The sequence below is a fragment of the Homo sapiens genome, chromosome 8 (assembly GCF_000001405.40).
Source record: "Homo sapiens chromosome 8, GRCh38.p14 Primary Assembly".
Lineage (NCBI taxonomy): Eukaryota > Metazoa > Chordata > Mammalia > Primates > Hominidae > Homo > Homo sapiens.
In genome coordinates, this window is record NC_000008.11 from 127,558,720 (window position 1) to 127,576,579 (window position 17,860).

General features: G+C 44.2%; 4 annotated features.

Annotated features, from left to right (window-relative positions):
* Positions 6,222–6,321: an enhancer, noted in NCBI's record as "active region_27942". NCBI's record gives its function as "activates an Ori minimal core promoter by ATAC-STARR-seq in GM12878 lymphoblastoid cells {active_cell/tissue: GM12878}" and the evidence as "EXISTENCE:reporter gene assay evidence [ECO:0000049][PMID:35858748]".
* Positions 9,105–9,194: an enhancer, noted in NCBI's record as "active region_27943". NCBI's record gives its function as "activates an Ori minimal core promoter by ATAC-STARR-seq in GM12878 lymphoblastoid cells {active_cell/tissue: GM12878}" and the evidence as "EXISTENCE:reporter gene assay evidence [ECO:0000049][PMID:35858748]".
* Positions 9,235–9,284: an enhancer, noted in NCBI's record as "active region_27944". NCBI's record gives its function as "activates an Ori minimal core promoter by ATAC-STARR-seq in GM12878 lymphoblastoid cells {active_cell/tissue: GM12878}" and the evidence as "EXISTENCE:reporter gene assay evidence [ECO:0000049][PMID:35858748]".
* Positions 9,805–9,854: an enhancer, noted in NCBI's record as "active region_27945". NCBI's record gives its function as "activates an Ori minimal core promoter by ATAC-STARR-seq in GM12878 lymphoblastoid cells {active_cell/tissue: GM12878}" and the evidence as "EXISTENCE:reporter gene assay evidence [ECO:0000049][PMID:35858748]".

The window sequence follows — 17,860 nt, forward strand, 5'->3', positions numbered from 1 at the left end:
CTTGAAAAAGGACAAAGGAACACAATCTCAGGCAGGGGACCACCAGCAACCTTAGCAAAGGGAAGATTTGGACTGCACGGGTGGCGGCAGCGTGGAGTCACACTGTACAGCCTGGCCCAGCCCAGAACCTTTCTCCTAGCCCAGGCCCTCTGTTCACAGGAAGCATCAGCACTACCTTTTACCTCGGCCAACCCATCCATATTGTGAACTCAGCTTATTGGAACACAAAGAGCATTTGGCTGTCTTTTAGATATAATTTGAAAAGTCAGGAGTTGGCCTTTGGAAAAGCTGCTTCAGACAGCAAGAATATTTTAGTGTAAGGGGAAATATATTCATCTGATGAAAGGTGTGGGAACCAGGAGTGGGAGGGAAGCAAGGTTCCCTTGGTACCACCTGGAGTCTCAGCATCCATATTATTTTATGTGGCATCACCATCATTTTTTGACACCACCAGCGAGATTGTTCAATGAATATTTAATCATGATGGGGTTCTCTCCTTTCCCATTCCTTCGGTCCCCTGGCTCCAGCCTTTCTAAAGTAATAACTTTGCTCATCAAACACCAAAACTGGCACTTCCCCATCCTTATGCTGGTACCATGATGTAGACTATTTGTGGGTTCTGAGCGACAGGTGGCTGGTAAGGTAGCAACAGAACAGCTCCCAGAGACACCAGTTGTTGGAGGCTTATATTACCCCAGGGAGGATCATGAAACTGCAGAAGCCATCTGGCAGGGCTCTCAAGGCACCTGTATGCTGAGCCTGCTGCCAATATCTCCATCTCAATTAGGCTCCTGTGCAGTGATTTCCCTGCTGTACTCACTGACTCGCACAAAATCTCAGGGAAGAGCACAGGCACCAACCAACTATGCTGGAGAGAAGAGGAAAGTTTGGAAGATTACTGAAGAAATCTTTCCTCTACTTCCATGTGGTGAAAGAGAGAGGAATGCAACACACCTCTCCATGGAAGAAATCAAGGAGGATGACCAACAATTCACAGGCAATCTTGATAGCCCTTGATAGTCACACCCACCCTGTGACATTGGGCCACTTGGATGCCATTTTAGGTATGTGGAAATTGAAGCTTAAAGTGGTTAGGTAAGTCCCTGAGGTCCCAAGGATGATGAATGGCAGCACCAAGGTGTAAGCCACGTCTGTCTGACTCTAGGGTTGATGTGGATGCTCACTACAGTTCATTGCTTATTGCAGAGTCAAAGTTCAAGGTCCTTAAGCACAAGAACTGTGTCCTATCTTGCTCTTTTTGTATCCATCACCTCCTCACTCTCACCCATGATGCAACCTCAGGACCAAACACAATGGGTAAGTTTCTTCTCCACTGTCAACCACCAGCGTTGTATCTGGGAAGTGGGGTAAAAACACCCATCACTTGACTCCATAAATGCCTTTCCATCTCCATGATGAAGACAAACTCCAGAGATGGTGCATTTATGCAACTGAGTATTGAGTGAGCACATGCTATGTGCGCTAGGCAAAGTGGTAGGCGATTAAGGAGAGGTAGATTAGAGGCTCAGTATGACAGACATGCAGCAGCGGGTGTTAATTACTACTAAGTGTTCTTACTGTGCTTGGTAAGCATGTTGCATGCATTATCTCATTTAATAGGTGTGTGCGCATGTGTGCGTGTGTGTGTGTGTTTGTGTGTGTGTATGCAGGGAGAAATTGAAGTGGGCACATTCCTGGCTGCGCAAACAGCAGGAGCAAAGGTACTGAAGTAGAAATGTGCAATGCATGTAGAAGAAACTAAATAAGTTCAGAATATTCTTTAATTTATTTGCTTAACAAATATTTATTGACATCCTCTATGTGCTAGGCACTGTGATAAGCAAAGGAGAAAGAGGAGTGAACCAGATATGGTCCAGAGTGACACTGATAACAATTACAAATAGCGATACCATAATAACTGTAATAAAACTACAACGTTAAAAAGCAGGAACACAAGATTACTGAACTTCAGGAGGCTAACCTTGTCTGGAAGGTTATGGAAAGCTTCCCTGATACAGCATCAGTGAGAACAACAGAGAGTAGAAAAGTAGGGTCCTTCCCTTCTGGATACAGGGTAGATGTTAATTTAATAGTGAGCTTCTGAGAGAGTCAAGTCTTGATATGAATTCACCATAGCACTGGGGTGGAATCAAAAGAAGGAACTAGCCTGCAGCCTCATTTAGGACCAGGAGACATGGCATCAGTCAAATGAGAGTCAAAGCAGGATTGAAACTGGAGATCCCAGGCAAAGGCTAGGAGCACGGACCTCTCAGGAGGGTGCCAAGTTCACCAGAATAAGCATTGTGCATTTGGATAGTTTCAGTACCTTTTCCAGTCACTTTATCCACATGGATGTTTAACATGAATTATCTCACCTGAGACTCACAACAAGCATAGGGAGGCGGGAATGGGAACAAAAATCCTCATCTGACCCAGAAGGGAACTGGAAGGAGGGCTTGTGATTAGACATGGGACTTCCCATTCTCAACCAAGTCCCTGCGCACACAGCATGGTCACCAGGCAAGACCATGTTGAGCCTCACCCGCTACTTATTTTTCAATTAATAATAACCATATAAAGAATCCTTGCATAGTGTTTTATTTTTATTTTTCACAGCATTTTCCTTTCCACCGTCTCATTGGAGCATCTCATCAACCTTGCTAAGGAGACAACAAACTACAACAAAACCCCGCAAGGCTTAGAGATATTTGCCCAGAGCCATGCAGGTGAAAATATGGAAGAAACAAAATGCCAATTTAAGTCTTCTTCCATAGAATCCTTTGATCTTTCTGATACTCCACATCACACCACCCATCAGTTCATTTATTCAAGAAATGGTTACTGAGTAACTTTCATGGGCCAAGCCCTTTTCCAGCTACTGAAGATGCAATTCTCATAAGGAATTCACAGAGAACAAGTAACCTGATACATTACAGAATGTATAGCCAGAGTAGTAGCAAGGTGCTAAGGGGTACACAGAGGAAGAGACACAAGAGCTTCTTGTGTTATGGGGTAGAGGGCAATGGGGAGGCTTCATGCAGGAGCTAGCATTTGAGCTCAGATGTGGTGGATAGGTAGGAGTTTTCCAGGGCAACAAAGCAGGCAAATATCTGAGACCAGAGGAAACGGCATATTCAAGGGCACAGGCATGACCAGGCCTGACTCTTCCAGGGAATATGGCTGGAGTGAATACAGGAGAGATGAGAGAGAATGCTGGAATGGAAGGAGAGGACTTCATACCAGAAACTGAGAGTAGTCAGAGAGGTGTTTTCAGCAAGGGAGAGGCACATTCAGATTTTTGGTTTGGGGAAACCACCTATGCGAAATTTAGAATAAAAAGTGAAAAAAGAGCCTGAAGATGGGAAAATAGGTAAATTATGAGAGTGGCAGTGTGGAAGAAGGAATATTGCATCTGGGAATACAATTGGAAGATTTAGTGACTTGGATGAGAATATGAGAGAGAAGGTAAGGGATGACATGAAGCCTTCTACCCTGCGAAGCCAAGAAAATGGTAGAGCCATCCAGAGTAGCCCTATTTCCTAACACATGCTCATGGATACACACCACACACACACACACACACACACGCACACACACACAGGCACGAGAGGCTAGGTGCAGTGGCTCACACCTGTAATCTGAAAACATTGGGAGACTGAGTTGAGGAGTTTGAGACCAGCCTGAGCAACATAATGAGACTCTATTGCTACAAAAATTTAAAAATTAGCTGGGTGTGGTGGGGTGCACCTGTAGTCCCACCTACTTGGGAGGCTGACGTGGGAGGATAGCTTGAGCCCAGGAGTTCGAGGCTACAGTGAGCTATGATGACACCACTGTACTCCAGTCTGGGCAACAGAGTGAGAACCCGTCTCTAAAAACATAATTTTTTAAAAAAAGACAAAAGAAATGGAAGCACATTAGCATGTTAGCAGTGTTTATCCTTGGATTACAAAACGCTTGCCAGAATTTTCTTTTTAACTTTTTTTTTATACTTTAAGTTCTACAGTACATGTGCACAATGTGCAGGTTTGTTACAACTGTATACATGTGCCATGTTGGTGTGCTGCACCCATTAACTCGTCATTTACATTAGGTATATCTCCTAATGCTATCCCTCCCCCCTCCACCCCACCCCACAACAGGTCCCGGTGTGTGATGTTCCCCTTCCTGTGTCCAAGTGTTCTCATTGTTCAATTCCCACCTGTGAGTGAGAACATGAGGTGTTTGGTTTTTTGTCCTTGTGACAGTTTGCTGAGAATGATGGTTTCCAGATTCATCCATGTCCCTACAAAGGACATGAACTCATCCTTTTTAATGCTGCATAGTCTTCCATGGTGTATATGTGCCACATTTTCTTAATCCAGTCTATCATTGATGGACATTTGGGTTGGTTCCAAGTCTTTGCTATTGTGAATAGTGCCGCAATAAACATACATGTGCATGTGTCTTTATAGCAGCATGGTTTATAATCCTTTGGGTATATACCCAGTAATGGGATGGCTGGGTCAAATGGTATTTATAGTTAATCTTAGGGGGAGTTATTGTCGAGGTTGGTCTCGAACTCCTGGCCTCAAGCAATCCTCTTGCCTCACGGAGTTTTCCAAATGTTCTGTATGAGCATGTATTATATCATGCTCAGAGAATGTAACATTTTGAAATTACTAAAAATGGTAACAGTTACACTTTCTAACAACTACTACATTCTCATATTTTTATGAAGTAAGAACACAGTTATCCTCATTTTACAGAGGAAAAGCTGAGGCTCAGACAAGAGATCTCTGCAGGGACACATATCTACTAAGTGGCTGAATCATGAGTCGACTCAGATCTGTTTGATTCCAGAAGCTAAGGCCTGACTGAACACCTGACATTGTCGTGAATTTAAAAAAAAAAAAAAAAAGGAAGTAGATTTTAAAGAGAAGTGCTCATTAAGTTTAGTCTTGTGAGTCATAAGTTTGAAGCACTGAAGAGATGACTGGGGATGTCTTTTGAACAGGTTAAACATTGACTGGAGGCTCAGGAGCTCCTCTTTGGAGGTGTTGATTTGAGAATTGTTCAGAGATGTCAATGAAGCAACAGCAACAGAGGAGACCATCCGGGAGTAGTTTAGAGATTGTGAATAGAAGGATATTGCCAAAGACCACTCAGTAAGGAAAGGAGAGTCACAGGAGAGATGCAGGTAACCTGGAAACTGAGGGAGAGAGGACTTTCAGATCACTGAGCATGATCAAGTGGCATAAAATGGCCTTTAGGCAGAGTCTTATGATGAGTTTGACATGAGAATATTTATAGCATAAACTAGCCTGAACACAGTCAAGGTAGGAAGTATAAAATGCCCTTTCAAGAATGGAATTGATGAGGAATTGGTGAGGGAAAGATTGTAGTTCAAAATGATGGAGACAGGGGAAGGGATTTTCCCCTTGCAGAAGGCTTGACTCCACTTTTAGGCTGAATGGAAGGAGTAGGAGGGACAGAAGAGTCAGGATAGAGAGAAAACAACCCGAAGAACAAGTTCCTTGAGGAAATGGAAAGGGATGCCACACACAGGTAAGGGTTTGCTCTAAAGTGCTCCTCAAAGTTAACAGTCCAGTTATAGACACTGTTGCTGCAAAACAAACCACACCATATGCAAAATGTAAAGTAAAACAATCACCATCTTATGCACGCTGCTTCTGTGGGTCAGAAATTGGACAGAGCACAGTGGGGATGGCTTTTCTCTGCTCCACAGTGTCTGGGGTCTAATTTAGAAAGACTCAAATAGTTATGGGTGACTCAAATGTCAGGGGGCTGGAATCACCCAGGGTCTTTCACTCATGTGGCCGATGCCCGGGCTGGGATGATTTTAAGGCTGGGCTCAGCAGGGTCGATTCTTTGAGCACTCATGCATGGCCTGTGCATGTGCCTTGGGCCTCCTACGGCACGGCAGCAGCATTTTGAGAGGAAGCAATAATCCTTATGGTATCATCACTCCTATTGTGTTGAAAAGAGTCCTAAACCTCAGGAAATTCATGTCACTTGTTCAGTGTCATAGAGCTTTACAGTGTGCTCTCAATTTTGCCTAAAAAATACATTCATATCACATATAGAAAAAATTCTGGGAGAATACACATGAAAATTTTAGAAGTAGTCATATTTGAATAGTGTAATTTTTATTTCCTTTTAGATTTTCTCTGTTTTGTTTTTATGTTTTAGCAATGATTATGCATGGCTCATACATTAAAAGTTTTGTTTTTACTTTCTAGATGAAGCCTTCTGTAAGCAGTCTAATAACCCCTTGGACTTAGTTGTTTTCAGGACAAGCCCAGGGGTGGCATCTCCCGGATGGAAATACAAACCAAACATCTGCCAGGCATGTACCAAGGGTTCCATACTTGACGTCATCTTATCTTGGAGAAGAGATTCTCACACTATGGGACTGACTCAGACATCATGCCTCTTCAGCCAGGCAGAGGAACTGACATTCCCTAAGGTATCCTATAACATAGCTATATCAGAGATGGCCACATGAGGAGGCCAGGACATCATTGAGCAACATGCCTTGTGGTTGAGCTTCATACTACCATGACCAAGAGTCCAGGTCAAGAATGCCAGTGTGCTTCTCTCAACAAAACATAGCTTGATTCTGGGCTTTTAGGCTTTTAGGTTCTTTCTATCTTCTGAAACTCATCCAAGATTTTCAGCTCATACTTTAAACACGTTGAGGTTATCTTTGAAACACAACAGCATCTCCCCTGAGATCACCCTCTTAGTTTACGCAGTTTTAAGTTGGGGGTTTTATTCATTTAAATGAAAATGTAAGAATTTTAATTTAGGTTGAAATTTTCTAATGTTAGCTTTGAATGCAATTTAGATGAAGCATAATAAATGCAGGTTCAAATTCAACCAGCCATTTCTGAGAACTGTGCCTGGCACTGTGCCCAGTCCTCTCTGATGAGCATACACTCTTGTCTTCTCAACATTCACCCTGCCTTCTTCTGTCAACCCCAAATCAGGTGAGGCCAGCTAGTGAACAGTATCTGAACTCAATCACTGAGTTCACCCAGAATCTAATTGGCCTCGCTTGTGAAATATGTTATTTTGATGAGGAATCAGAGGGCCAATTAGCTGAGATGCTTTGGACAAGTCCTCCATTTAGTCACCTGTAAAATGAGAAGAGGACAAGGAATTGGATGAGGCATCTCTAAGACCCTTCTGGCCCTAAAGTCTCGGCTTCTTCAAGTCACAGATGTGAGCATGTCTCTTGTTACATCAGAGCTGCCCTTTCTCTGTCATCAGCCCACAAGTTATCTACCGGGAGGCACACAAACATATCCATACACATCCTGAGCCCACACCCCTGCAGCAAACAGCCTCACCCAGTTTCACACAAAGAGAAGCCACCTGCACATGTGACCAACCCTAGCGGCTCCTGAGCAGCTGCTCTTCTTTGCTCTCTAAGGCAGCAAAAGGGATGTATTTCCCTCATCGAATCTTTTTTCTCTTAAAGAATCAGAAGCCTCCTTCACTCTTGCCTTCTCACTATCTGGACTTCAACCCTGTTTACTATAACTGGCTGTTTAGCTATCTAAATTTTCTATGTGACCATGAATTCCACAAGGAAAACACCTATTTGTCATCTTACTGAGTGTTTTGGCTTCAGCAACTAGCTGGGAGCTAGATACAGAGGCATCGATTGCTGAATAACCTTGTCACCCCTCCCGGCCCGCTCTTGTGGTGAATTAGAGACAACTGCATGTTCTCTGACACCTCCCCAGTCAAGAGATGAAGTCCAAATCCCCTTTCCTTCTATCTTGGCAGGCAGATCCCATTTGTATTTATTTATTTATTTATTTTTTTTTTTGAGAAGAGTCTCACTCTGTCACCCAGGCTGGAGTGCAATGGCTCTATCTCGGCTCACTGCAACCTCCACCTCCTGGGTTCAAGCGATTCTCCTGTCTCAGTCTCCCAAGTAGCTGGGATTACAGGTGCATGCAACCACTCCCGGCTAACTTTTTGTATTTTTAATAGAGACGGGGTTTCACCGTGTTGCCCAGGCTGGTCTTGAACTCCTGCGCTCAGGCAATCCACCCACCTCAGCCTCCCAAAGTGCTAGGATTACAGGCGTGAGCCACCGTGCCCGGCGATCCCATTTGTATTATTCCTAGTTTCTAGATGAGGAAACTGAAGCTCGGAGGCTCAGAGATGCGATCCTCAAGGTCACCCAACTAGCAGGTGGGAAAGCCAAGATTCAAGTTGAGATCTTTCTAACTCCAAAGTTCAAGCCCTCTATAACCACTGGGCTGTCTTGCTTCCCAAACAATGTTACAGCGGGTGTGCCTGTTTGTGTATGTATGTGTGGCATACAGAGAGGTAGAAAAACTGGATACCTCCTTGAGCAAGCATTGGCATTGTACAGCCCACAGCCAAATCTGGCCTGTTTTTATAAATAACACTTCATGAAGCCGCAGCCACACTCATTCATTTACATACTGTCTATGGTTACTTTCACATCACCACAGCTAAGCTGAGTAGTTGTGACTCAGCAACCATGTGGCCCGAAAAAGCCTGAAGTATTGACTATCTTGTCCTTTACAAAAAGTTTGCTGATGCCTGTTCTAGAGGATCTACATAGGAGATTACTTACATCCCTTCAAGGACACAATGGGCCTCATTTTTTCCTGAGGCAAGATTTAAAGTTACCAACTTGTCCCAGTTTTTCCTAGACTTTGTTATTTTTTTCCAGAAAAACCTCTTGGTCCTGGGAAAACTGGGATGGTTGGTCATCCTAGTTCTAGATTATGCACCACAGACTCTATATAAGTGTGCAGTCCTGCTGTCCCTTGAAATGCCCTAACTGCAGCTTCCACGGCTGCCTAAGAGGGGATCAGATGCCCCAGGCACAGAAGGCACTTCCTTCTCTGCCAAGGTCCCACCACAGAGCAGGCCCAAGGCAAGGCCACCCTGTTAATAAGCTTAATTGGATTTGCCAGCTGAGCCATGAATTCATTATCCCTGTCAATCCCCAGCCCTAGAGAGCCAAGAAAAATTCCTAGAGGAAATGATAAAGGTCTCTCGTCTGGGCCTGTGTCTCCATTCTTTCTCCCCCTCCCACCCTGAAAAGGCATATACAGTGTGCTACCTTCTCGCATTCCAGGACATAAAGGAGATACTGTCAATGATGCAGACGTTTTAAGAAGTAGCATTTTCATAATGAAAAGAAAGGTCTGGCTGGTTTTTTGTTGTGGTTGGGTTTTTTGTTGGTTTATTTTTTCTTTTTTTGAGACATGGTCTCCCTCTGTCACCCAGGCTGGGGTCCAGTGGTGCAGTTAATCACGGCTCACTGCGGCCCCCATCTCCTCGGCTCAAGCGACCCTCCCACCTCAACCCTTCAAGTAGCTGGGACTACAGGGGTGCGCCACCACACCTGGCTAACTTTTTTGTATTTTTTGTAAAGACAGGGTTTCGCCCTGTTGCCCAGGCTGGTCTCCATCTCTTGAGCTCAAGCGATCCACCCACTTTGGCTTCCCAAAGTGCTGGGACTACAGGCATGAGTCACCACACCTGGCCAGTCTGGCTCTTTTTTTTTTTTTCTTGCATGTTTTTACCATGTTCTTGGGGTGTGTATAATAGGAGTGGAGTAGGTGATGTGCATATACATAGCCTATGCATAATTTTTCAGATGCGTGAACTTTCCCAGGCTTAATAATTGGCCTGAAGTTCCCCTCACTTTAGACATTCACATCTTCATGCACAGAGGCCCCCATAATGAGAGTTGTACGGACCAGTCATCTACTAGCAAAATTATCTAACACAATGCCAAAAACCTGGGTGTGAGCTGAGACTGGGAGAAAAGCAGCCAGAAAAGGCCTCTCTCCCTGTGCAGTTCTCAGAGGGAGGCCGGAGCTGCCTCAACAGCACAAAGAAAAGGGAGGGCCTCTTGCCTTCCTCCCAGACTTGAGTGATAAGTTCTGAAGACAAAAGGTTCTGGAAGAACGGACTCAGCTTCTGCAGCCCCTGACCAGGAAGAGAGAAATGACTAGAGCAGTTTCAGCAAACTGCAGTCCTCAGGCCACATCTGGCCTCCCTTTGTTTTAGTGCAGCCTGCCCAGAGGCTAAGAATGACTTTTACATTTTTTTAATGGTTGCAAAAATTAAAAGAATACTATTTGTGATACGTAAAAAGTATATGAGAATCAAATTTCAATCTCCATCAGTAAAGTCTTATGGAAACATGGCCAAACTCACTTGCTTTTGTGTTCTCCGTGGCTGCTTTCCCATTTTACAAATAAAGAAACTGAGGTCCAGAAGGATGAAATAAATGAATCATCCCAAAGTCACATAGTTTGTAAGAGGCAAAACTAAGATTTGAGCTTAGGTCTGCCTGCCAACAAAACGCCATCACTCTGACAAGCCACCCTCTTGAAGGAGGCAAAGAAGTGGGTTCTTGGGTGAGTGGGTCAAGGAGAAATTTGGATGATCGATGTCAGCTCAAGCCTGAGGTACAAGCCAGTGTTAATCAGTGGACAACAGCTGGCTCATGCAGGGTGTACATATAGAAGATACCTCAACAGAAGCTGAGAGATATTGAAAAATACTGCATGGCAGCTCCTCATTTTACAGAAGGGGAGTCCGGGGGTCCGAAGGCATGAGAGATAGAAGACTTTGTCTGGAATCATCCAGGCAGTCATAGCCAGAGCTGGGTGGAGAAACTACCACATCATTAACCCCAAGAGATGAGAGTTGGGTGCCAGCTTCAAGGAATGGGGTCAGTGGGAGAGGTGCTCTGGCTGGCGGATTCCAGTTCCACAGGAGGCCTTGGGTAATTCTGGGGACAAACATGGGTCAGAGGCCAAACTAAGGCTCAGCACACCTACCCTTAGTTCCCCAAAGTTGCAGAAGACAAAATAAATTTGCATTTTTACAATGGGATAATTAATGTGAACTAAAGTACTCTTGTAACAGTTGATCTGTTTGAAAAGGAAAGAAAATGTCCTAAGAAAGACCCAACACTGGGGTCAAAGCTCAATATTTGCAGTTAGTATCTGAGCCCCACTTACTAAATGCCTCTGTCCTAGTAGTACTTCCTTTTCCAATTTTGATCAGAGGAGACACTGAGCACGGAGGAGAGAACCACATGCATAAGTCACCAAACCCTCATCAAGCATCTGTTGTGCATTGGGCTTTCTGGGTGCATTATCACTGATCCTAAAAGATAGGCAAAATCATTTCCATTTTATTTGTGAGGAAACTGAGGCTTAGAGTGACCAAGTGATCACCTGAGGTCATACAGCTAGAAAAAAAACAAAAGCCAGCTGTCTCCACACTTGGAGGAGGGTTGAGTTTGGTAAATATGAAAAGGACTTCTTTCTCCCAGAGCTGCTGGGTTTTTCAGCCTCGCTGGTATAGCCAGATGTCTTTCCTCCCTAGCAAGATGTCTTCTGTTGAACTCTTAGGGCTGAAACCAGGTTATTGAAGGGAAGCTGCCACCTTGGGGAGTTGATGCATCGCAGATGCAGATAAAGGCAGATTGCGAGATTCCATACCTGCAATCAGATGGCTCAGATTCCTCTGCGGGGTCAAATGCCACCACAAATGTCTTTTTTATATAGACTGAAGGAGCTGATAATGTAAACCTTAACAACCCGGGCAGGGCCCTTTTCATCTCCCTGATCACACTCATCTCAGGATGAAATGGGCCGCAGGGAAGGGTTCACAACTCAACTCTCAACTCCAAAGTTTCCTGAAAGATAACCCCACACCTTGTGCAAAGTTATGACAGGAAGCCCCACAAGGCCTTTGTGATAAGCTCTCCCAGCACATTGCTGGGGACCCACAATTGTTTGGCAAAGGGGTGGTGTCCACTGCTTCAACTGTGACTTTGGACCAGAGAGTTGTAACAGACAAATGTGGCTCAGGCCCGGCAACCGTGCTCTGCCTTATGTCAGGGACTGGCTGAGATTACTTCAAGAGGGAAATTGTTGATACTAAACCCCTACGTGGTGTGAGTGACACTCTAGTGTCAGGTGACAACCCTGGATACATATCAAGGGGATGGGGAGAGACATGCTGAACTGGTTGCAGTTGAGTTTTGGGAGAGCGTTTTAGCGCTATAACCACTTTTAGCTCTAGACTCAGGCTTCTGCTGAGTTTCAGCTCCAGTCTTTCATATTCCACATAATAGATGACCTCCTGCTACTCCCAGTTATCTGGGAGTCTATGAGCCATGAGTCTAAGTGTCTCAGAAATCAACTACTGGTCACACATCCCAGAAAGGCAATGAAAGTCCTGACACTGTGGGAATCTCCTCAGCCCATTTCTCCAAGCCTGCCCAAGCAGAGTTCTAGAGCTTTGATCTATGCCAAAGATCTATGCCCAAAAGGCCAAACTTCTAGAAGTTCCCATGTATACGTAGCATGCTAGTTCCTGGCCCGAGGCCTTTGTGTGTGCTGTACCCTCTGTCCAAAACTCCATTTCCCCACTTGTCCACCCACCCATCTCCTCCTCTTTCTTCATAATGTGGCACAGACATCCTCTCAAAAGCAGTCTTTCTCTGAACCTCCAGGGTAGCCCTCCTCCTCTTCCTCTGTGCTCTCGCAGCCTCCTACCTCACCCCACTGCCCTTCTCTCTCAGCACCTCTCTTGTCAACACTCAACTGGGTGTTCATCAATCTTCACCACCAGTCAAGCCCATGGATGGTCAAGGCATGGCCTTCACCATCCCTGGAGCTGCACAACCGGTGCTTGGCCCATAGAAGATTTTTAATAGACGCTTACCTTCTTAAACACTTGGAAGAATTAACTGAAACCACAAACTCATGCTAGAGCAGCCTCTTTTAGAAATCTCCTCATTTATTTATTCAGCCCATGTTTTTGTGCCCCTGCTAGGGGTCATGCGCTGTGATAGCACAAGGAAGACAATGGGGAGCAAAACAGGCCTTGCCTCTGCCCTCAGGGAGCTGATTCGTGGCAGAATCAAACACTAGTGGCACTATTAACTTTTTTCTTAATAGACATTTTTTAGTTCTTTTTTAAAAAATTTTTAAGTTCTACTTTTAATTAACAAATAATAATTCTATATAGTATATATATTTACATTGTGGAGTAATTAAATCTAACAATTCTATCACCTCACATACATATTATTTTTGTGGTAAAAATATTTAAAATATACTCTTCTAGTAATTTTGAAATATATAATGGACTACTATTTAGTAGAGTCACCGTTCTGTGCAATAGATCACTCCCATGTTTACTGCAGAATTATTCACCATAATCAAGATATGGAAGCAACCTAGGTATTCATTATTCGATAAATGGATTTAGAAAATGTGGTGTCTATACACAATGGAATATTTTTCAGCCTTTAAAAAGAAGGAAATTCTGGGCCAGGCATGGTGGCTCACACCTGTAATCTCAGCACTTTGGGAGGCCGAGTCGGGTGGAATCACCTGAGGTCAAGAGTTTGAGACCAGCCTGGCCAACATGGTGAAACCCCAACTCTACTAAAAATACAAAAAATTAGCTGGGCCTGGTGGTGCACCTGTAATCCCAGCTACTCTGGAGGCTGAGGCAGGAGAATTTAGCTTGATCCCAGGAAGCAGAGGTTGCAGTGAGCCGAGATCGTGCCATTGCACTCCAGCCTCAGCAACAGGAGTGAAACTCCATCTCAAAAAAAAAAAAAACACAAAAAACAAAACAAAACAAAAAAAAACCCAGGAAATTCTGTCATTGGCAGAAACACGAATGAACCTGGAGGACAGTATGCTAAGTGAAATAAAGCAGGCAAAGAAAGACAAAAGACCACATGATCTCATTTAAAAGTGGAATCAAAAACAAAGTAGAGTAGAGCATAGAATGGTGGTTACCAGCAGCTGGGATCAGGGGACAGATGGGGAAAGAGAAATACTGATCAAAGGGTACAACGAACTATTTAACCGTGGTTCTGATAAATGCTACCAAAGAACGAGGCCAGGATTGGGTGGGGGAAGCAAATAAGGCACTGGCCCCAAGTGCAAAATTTAAGGTGGAGCAAAAACATACAGGGAAAAGACAAATCAAAATTAATACAAAAATCTTCGTGCTCAAGAAACTATCCAAAATGTAAACAAAGGCCAAAGCATCATGCCATGTCACAATGGAGCCAAAGGCATAAGGAAAATATGCACCCCTATAGACATGATTTTGCATATTTTAATGGTTATTTTTTCCCAGAACATTAAAGTAGTTGAAAATCACTGAACAATGTAAAAGTAGGATATTAAAACTCACATTATTTTATGTTTAAATATTTTATTTATTACCAAGCAGAATGTATTATCCTTTTATTATAGCTTAAGCTAATTAAAAAATCACGTAAGATTGCCACTTGGTCACATGAATTTATCCAACATGACAATTTTCTCCAGTGAAAGCAAGATAAGCAAAGAAGTAGACACCAAAAACATTATTGAGTGCTTGCTTCCAAAAAGCCTGGAGTATACATTTTTCCTTTCCTTCAGGCACCAGCTTGGCTCAGAACAGCATGAGTCTTTATTTAAAATTTGCGATTTTGTTCACCTTGAATTTTTTGCGTTAATTTTGATACGTTAAATAATTGCATTAAAATACTATTTATCTTGATATGAAGGGGGTTTTATGGGCACCCACTTAAAATTTTGCACCCAAAAGTGAGTCCCTCTTTTGCCTCACCCTAATCCCAGCCTTGCAGAATAAGGGTACAGGAGGCCAAACCTAGGCTGAGTGTGAAGGAGGGCTCCCCCAGGGATGTGACAATGAATGTCAATCCTGGTGGAAGATGACACAGTTAGAACTGTAGAGGGCTCTGCCTACAGTTAAACCCTGGGCCAGGAAGGAGCTTGCTAAAGAATAACGATAAGAACTGCAAACACAGACATTATGCTAGTATGCAGAGGCACTGTCCTAGCAGACATTCATTTGATTCTCACTACAAACTTATGTTGCTGGTATTATTGTTACAATTTTACAGACCAAAACTAGGACACAGAAAAGGTAAGCTAGTAGTTCAAAATCACAGAGCCATGAAGTGATCCAGCTAGAATGTGAATGCAGGCAATCTCGGGCCCAGTCCATCCTGGAAACCCTTCCTCTCTCTCACTCAGAGAGAAGTTTACATTGGCTAGGGTGGAGTGAGCCACCAGGAGGCTGCCATGAGTGGATAGTGAGATATAGGGCTGAAAGTTCCAGCCTTGTGAAGGTCCCAGTAGGAATTCTAAACCCTTGGAGGAAAAGTAACTGGTGCCATTTTAATGTTATTTTATTTTGCCTCTTTCTTCCCGCTATCATCTTTACAGTTGTCTTGTGCTTTAATCTTAGAAATCTGGAAATATTCTGTTCAGATGGTCCCTGGAAAGACGTAGAGCAGAGGTGTTTTATTCTAATTTACTTTATAATTTAAATGAGGGATGTCTCAGTCAAGACAGAGTGGATTCCAACACACTGCTAATGCAAAGCCTTGCCCGTACAGCCATGAGGTCAAGGGACCTACAGCAAACAAGAACCTCAGCATCGTCAGTCATTGACCGTATTCAACGACCCTTGTCTACAGGTAGTAACATACAGAGTGGTCAAGCACACAGGTTCTGGTATTAAATTGCCTTTGTCTTGACTTTGCAACCTTGGGCAAATTACTTAAAGCCTCTAAACCTCAGTTTTCTCACCTTTAAAATGGGGTGTCATCACAGTGTCTGTCATTACAGAGACTGGCTCAGCTGGTCACAAAACGCATTTTTCTCTTCTCCTAGCCCAGAGCTAGCCTATGCTTATTGCACAGATTCCCTTGCAATTTGGTGTGGCTGGGACTAAGTATTGGCCAAAAGAATGTGCACAGAAGCAATGGATACCACGTCCAGACCTGACTCATACAACCTCCTTTACTGCTGTCTGCTCTCTTTCTTCCTTTCTCTGTCTGCTGGCAGAATGCTGAGCCCCAGGGTGACTTCAGAAGCTGTGTGTTGAATACAGAGCATCTGTCAGCCGGAATCCCTGATTAAGTATGTGGAGACAGAGCTACTGTCTTGGACTAGGTTTCCTCCAAGTGGAGGCTGAGACAGGGATTAAAGTATATGTGATTCACTGAAGGAGGGATCTCAGGGAAAAGGAAGTGTAAAAAGCAGGAGAGGACAGGAAAAGGAACTAACCGAGTATGTGGTTTCAGCAGGGTACTAAGCTGCGGCAAGATTCCACAGGAGCCCTGGAGCTTGGATTCCACCAGAGCTGGGCCCACTTGGAAGCAAGTGGGGAGGGTGGCCTTAGTACCTGTATCAGGCAGTAATTGGCTAAAGGCCACCACTGCCACCCCACGAGGTGGGAGGTGTGACCTCCTGGGTGAGGCAGACCCATCTCTCCTCCCCCAGCCATTCTGCAGAAAGCAATTTTCTGAAAAGCGGGGTAGCAGTGAGCCCCTTGTACCAGCGGAGGCCTGGGCGCTGGGTAGGGCTCCAGTAGCACCCACTATAGACATCCCACTTCCCAATCAGGAATTCCTGATTTATGAGAGCAATAAATTAAGTTCATTTTCTTAAGCCTCCATGATTTCTGGGTTTCTATGTATCATTGTAAGGAACGTAAGCAATACTGTGTACTTCATGGGGTTATGTAACGATTAAATGAGATGCTGCATTTGAGTTGCTTAACATGTGGTACGTGTTCAATGACCATTAGCCACAATTAGTAATTATTGCCCTGTGGCAGGTAATAGAGATGGAGAAATATCTGTTCTGCCTTCTCTGGAGGGCCTCGTGGCCTTGTGGGCACAAGACAGATGGAAATTAATGATTACAGAAATACAGTAGGGACCATGTCTGAAATGTGCTCATAGCCACTCACACCTGCATCTACCCAGGAACAGAATAAAATGTTTCAAGCCAGAAGTGATGCTTGAGTTGACTTCTCAGGAATGAGCAGGTGCTCTCAAGCAGGCAAAAGAGAGAAGAGCACTTCCAGCAAAAGGGACATGCATTTATGCTATGTCCAAAGGCATTTCTTGTGCTCCGAGGTCTCTGTAGTATTCACACAAGTGTTGACCGTGCCTGTTGAATCAGTGACCTCTAGAGTTGAAGCCCACCTTCCACTTGGCTATATAATCCAGGACAGGTCATGAAACCTCTTGATCCGTGGCATCTACAGTTGTCAGGGGTGGGAGAGGGATAGTGACACCATCCCTCCCTCAAGCTTGAGATAAGGTTTTGATTCCAGAACTGGGCAGCATAATACCTTGCCATAGGGAGTGCTGGATTAATGTTAGCCCCTGATATGATTTGGCAGTGTGTGCACCCAAATCTTATCTTGAATTGTAGTTCCCATAATTCCCATGTGTTTTAAGAGGGATCCGGTGGGAGGTAATTTAATCAAGGGGATTGTTACCCTTGTGCCATTCTCATGATACTGAGAGAGTTCTCATGAGATCTGATGATTTTATAAGCGGCTTTCCCCACTTTTTCTCAGCACTTCTTCTTGCTGCTGGCATGTGAATAAGGACATGTTTGTTTCCCCTTCCACCATGATTGTAAGTTATCTGAGGCCTCCCAGACCAGCAGAACTGTGAATCAATTAACCTCTTTCCTTTATAAATTACCCAGTCTCATATATTTCTTCATAGCATCATGAGAATGGACTAATACAGCCCCCTCCTTTTTCTTGCATCCCCTCCAGCTCCATCCTTCCCCTGGTGGTCTCCCAGAGTGTCAACCTCAGGAGAACTTAGTTGGAACCAAAAGCTTCCACCTCCCAGCCTCCTTAAACCTCACCTTTCTCCTCTACATCAGTCCCAAACTAGAGGCTGAGCTACTTGCTAAGGGTCATACACTTTTCATCCACACTCCCATCTCCATTCTCCCACCAGTTCCTGTTCACAACCAAGTCC